The 5,133-nt window shown below is 42.3% G+C and overlaps 1 annotated feature.

The window, feature by feature from the left end:
* Window positions 3,865–4,364: an enhancer, noted in NCBI's record as "H3K4me1 hESC enhancer chr2:72332215-72332714 (GRCh37/hg19 assembly coordinates)". NCBI's record gives its function as "activates a minimal SCP1, AML or CMV promoter by ChIP-STARR-seq in naive H9 embryonic stem cells {active_cell/tissue: H9 hESC(naive)}" and the evidence as "EXISTENCE:reporter gene assay evidence [ECO:0000049][PMID:30033119]".

Genomic DNA, 5,133 nt, shown 5'->3' with positions numbered 1-5,133 from the left:
TCCACAGGACTGCTTGAGTGTCCTCATGACATGGTGGTGGGCTTTCTGGGGAGTGAGAGATCCGAGAGCACAAAGATGAAGCTGCAATGTCTTCTGTGACCTCCTAGCATCAAGGGTCATGCATCATTACCTCTACATAATGGTGAGACTCTTGGTCTCACAGATCAGCCCTGGTTCATTGAGAGAGGGCAACACAGAAGGGCAGGAATGGCAGGAGGTGGGAATTTGCAGGGACATCTTAGAGGCTGGCTTTGCAAGGACAAATCCAGGGAAACTAAACAGATGCGTTCCCTTTGGAAAAGAGTTACTGCAAGAAACCAGAGAAAACAGAACAAAAGGAAATACAATGTGATACCTCTTGTTAGAGTTTTTACAAGATTCATTGCACCCATGAGAAGAAACAAATCTCAACTGCAAAATTTTTTTGTAAAGGAAAAGGTTAAAATATGAAAAATCACTACTGTAAAATTTAAAAAGTGTAAGCCATGAATAACATAAAATCAAATGAAATAAGGAAAGTAGCTTGAAAATTTCTAAGAGATATCAGAAGAAAATTCTAATGGAGATGGGGGAAGACATAAAAGCCATGTTAGGAAGAAGAAGAGAACAAAGAAAATGGAGAAAAAAGATTCACTCATCCATTCTTTGCTTATTCATTCATTCAACATTTATTTAGGGAGCTTATTTTGAGTCAATGGAGCTTTTATAGACTCATTAAAGTCTCTATTTTAAATTTTCATTTAATTATAATTTACTATACCCATACTCAAATAAATAATAGAAGAAAATTTCTCTGATGTGAAGGAAGATGTCAGCCATCAGATGTAAGGGGCAACATTAATATAAAAGGACTCATCAAGGCTTAAGGATAAAGGAAAACAATTTTCAGTATCTAGGTAGGAAAGAAACAGAGAGAGAGAAAAATCAGGTCATCCCAGACTTCACTTGTGCAACTTTAAATTTCAGAAAACAATGAAGCAATGTCTGCTGAATTTCGAGTGACAACAATTGTGAAAAAATTCTATACATAGCTATGATGTCGCTCATATATAGGTCAAGAAAGAGGCATTTTCAGACATGTAGGAACTCATGTAATTCTGCTTTAAAAACATTACCCCAAAAGATCCACCAATCAACCGAGAAATGAGTCAAAATCAAGAACCAGAGAATGAAAGAAGTGATACAAAAGAAACAGCCATGAGTAACTCAGCCAGGAAGGAATAGTTAATGTCTAAATCATCATTTGGAATATGGATACAAAGCCAAATGCAAACATTCAAAATAATTCTTGAAGGAAAAGAACATAAATCCAAAATAAATAATTATTCTGACAAAACTTTAAGGTGAGGAAAAGATAGGCAAAGAAAGAAAGAAAGAAAGAAAAATGTCCTAAATTTCTCATCTTACTTCAGTACAGTTATAGATATTATTTAATTATTAAAATTGGTAGAATTTTTTTTGCTTTAAATATTTTGTTTTATTCTACAGGTATACATAACTTTCAAATTACTATAGAAAAATACACCAAAATATTTAAGCAATTAAGTAAATTCAGAAAAAGAAACAGGAAGGAAATATAAAAACAAAGTACAAAATAATATTACAGAAACAATGCTAAACATACAAGTTTCACCACAAATATCAACATATGAGATTCTACTGTGAATAGATGAAAATTTTTAGATTATGTAAAAAAATCAAAGTATATACTCTTTCAGAAACATACAGTGGAAACATGCAAAACAGAGAAGTGGGAAAATATTATACTCAAAATGCAAACAAAAAGAGAGCAGAAATACATATTAGTAGTGCATGAGAAATGCAAATAAGAGAGTGCTATTTTATATTGATCAAAATGACAATCCACAATAAAGATACATCATAAACTTTTATGAACCAAGTAACATCTCGTTAAAAAATAGAAAGCAAAAGCTATTATATAAAAAAAAATCCATGAATCCATAGTGGGGATTTTAAACTTATGGATCTCTGTATTTGACAGGTCAAGGTGTCTTAAAAGAAGAACTAGAAAAATCAAATCACGTAGACCTAAAAGCAAAAGGGAAAAGTGGAGACAGTGAGGTTCCACCTGAACAGGACAGAATCACCTTCCAAACCTGTCCTGCCACCTCCAGATCCTCAGCTTAGTCTGAGATTTTGCTCTGGGATTAAAGTGAGCTCTCACCTTAGGGCTTTTGCACCGGCTTTCCCTCAGTTTCAAACAACCTACCCTCTGCCCTCACCCCATATTCACCTGACTCACCTGCACTTCATTCTCCCGCTTGAAAATCACATCCTCAAAGAGTCCCTCCCTACCTCGCTCCTGGTAGGATTTTCCCTGCCTGCTCACCCCTGCTTCAGGCCATCACAGTTTCCTTGTCCTGCTTTATTTATTTGTTTTTGCACATAATCATCACCCCTGGACGTTATATTATTATATAAGCATTTGGTTTGTTCACCTTTATATCCCTCAGTACTAGGCGGATTGCTTGGCACACAGTAGGTGCTCAGCAGTATAATTCATGAATGAATGAAATTTTAAAGACACAACATTTAAAAATTCTGCAAGTTCCTTGTGTTGCTCTAGATCAGTGGTTCTTGATGGGGGTGATTCTGTCCCCAGGGGACATTAGGCAATGTCGAGACATTGTTGGTTGGGAAGAGGGAACATTGCTTCCAGCAGCTAGTGGGTAGAGACTGGGATGCAATTAAACAACCTCCAATGCACAGGGCAGCCCCCATAGCAAAGAATTACCCAGCCCAAAATGTTAGTAGTGGGGAAATTCTGCTGTAGTGCCATTATTGCCTAAGTTGTTCAGGAAGATACCTTCTTAGGATTTTTAAACATTCTAAATAGGTAATAAGATGTAAACAATCTAAGTTTTAAGTGGTTGCCTGGGGACTAGGGGGGTAGGGAGCGGGGGGAAGAATAGGGGATTGTTCCTATTCCTAACAATGCTGGATGGTTAGGGCAGTGAAACTAATCAGAATGATGCTATGATGGTGGATACATGCTGTAATACAGTTGACCCTAGAACACCATGAGTTTGAACTTAGAGGGTCCACTTATGCACGGCTTTTTTTCAACCGGGGCAGATAGAGAATACAGTATTCTAGGAAGGTACACTTTTTGTATAAGTGGGTTCTGCAGGGCCAACTGCAGGACTTGAGTATGTGTGGGTTTGGCGTGTGGCAGACAGTCCGGGAACCAATCCCCCACATATGCCAAAGGACAACCGTACATTTGTCAAACCCATAGAATGTCCCACATCAAGAGTGACCCCTAAGTAAGCTATGGACTCTGGGTGATGTGTCTGCGCAGGTTCATCAGCTGTAACAAATGTACCACTGGGAGGGGGATGTTAATAATGGGGGAGGCTGTGCATGTGTGGGGGCAGGGGTTCTATGGGAACGCTGTGCTTTCCATTTTATTTTGCTGGGTACCTAAAACTGCTCTAATAAATAAAGTCTAGAAAAAAAATCAGAGTTTTACCAAGGCACGTAGATTCTAGTTCGTTGATGCTCTAAGTGTGGTCCTTGAATCAGAAGCCTCAGCATCACTAGGAGTGATGCAGCCTCTCAAGCCCACGCCAGACCTGCTGAGCAAGAACCCGGAGCTCAGTAGCCTCCCAGGCACTTCATAAACATGTTGAAGTCTGAGGACACTGGTCTCATTCTTGGCTGCTCATTAGCATCACCTAGAGAAAGCTTTAAAATCCCACGGCCCAGGCCACACCCCAGACCAATTAAATGAGAATCTGGGGGCTGGGACCCAGACATCACCATTTTCTAAAACACCCCAGATGATTTCAACTGTGCACCCAAAGTTGTGAACCACTGTTTGACACCATATGCCAAAGTCACAAAAGAGTTAGAAAAACAAAAACAAAAACCAAAACAACAGCAGCAACAACAAAAACAACAACAAAACCCTCTGGTTTTCTGACTCTTGGGCCCTTACCCACATCAAGGGTCTAAACACCTGTGAGAGACTCTGGGAGGGGGAGTTTCTTCACAGAGCCTCAGCGTCCTTCTTGCCCAGTGTCCACCGAGAAGGCCTTGGGAGATCTTGAGGGACACGAGAGCTTGAGGGACACAGTGCGCTGGGGTCTGACACCTGTCTGTGGGGAGGCTGGGAAGCAGGGCCGAGGGACACTGGCCACTGGTGGAGAGACATCTGCTTCCTCCGAGGGCCGGTGTGGACGTGCCCATTTGTCATGGACCAGGGAGAGGCGTGCGGAATGACAACTCATCAACCGGACTAGAGCCGTTGAAAATCCTGCCCAGGCCACCTCCTGAAAGGGCTCAGGGACCTGCCAGTGACAGGCAGGCAGCATGGAAATGGGAAGGGCACTAGAGGTCACTGCCGCTCCCCCTTCATAGCAAGCGCAGTCAGGTGCTCCCTGCGTGGCTTCTGAGGATGCTATGAAAATGTGCCACAAGGAAGTCACAAGGCCGTCTTACTTAGCTCAGTCCCCGGCAGGTGGAACGCGCCTGTCTCCTTATGTCTCCTCCTGCCCTGCCCCCTCACTCGGGCCCCAGCCTTGGAGGGTCAGATGCCACAGCTATTGGGCTGGGGGAGGCAGAGAGGTGCCAGTAAATGAAAGGGGGAAGCAGAGGCACGCAGAGGCCCCTGCCCGAGTTGCCCCCGCACCACTCCACTGTAAGCAGCTTAGATAGGGGAGAATATCGAAACCAGGTTGGAGGATTTTATTGTCACATGGGACTGGAATACTTTTAATTACGGAACTGAGTTAGTATTTGGCACTTCAAGCAATTTTTATTATCTAGAAGTAAGATTTAAAAAGCAATGCTCTGGCTGGGCACAGAGGCTCATGCCTGTAATCCCAGCTCTTTGGGAGGCGGAGGCGGGTGGACTACTTGAGGTCAGGAGTTCGAGACCAGCCTGACCAACATGGCAAAACCCTGTCTCTACTAAAAATACAAACATTAGCCAGACACGGTGGCGCCCACCTGTAATCCCAACTACTTGGGAGGCTGAGGCAGGAGAATCACTTGAATCCAGGAGATGGAGGTTGCAGTGAGCCAAGATCATGCCACTGCACTCCAGCCTGGGCGACAGAGCAAAACTCTGTCTCAAAAAAAAAAAAAAAAAAAAAAAAAAAAAGCAAT

This window comes from Homo sapiens, chromosome 2 (assembly GCF_000001405.40).
Source record: "Homo sapiens chromosome 2, GRCh38.p14 Primary Assembly".
In the NCBI taxonomy this organism is placed as follows: domain Eukaryota; kingdom Metazoa; phylum Chordata; class Mammalia; order Primates; family Hominidae; genus Homo; species Homo sapiens.
Note: the sequence above shows the minus strand (reverse complement) of the source record. Positions and strands in the feature narration are given on the sequence as shown.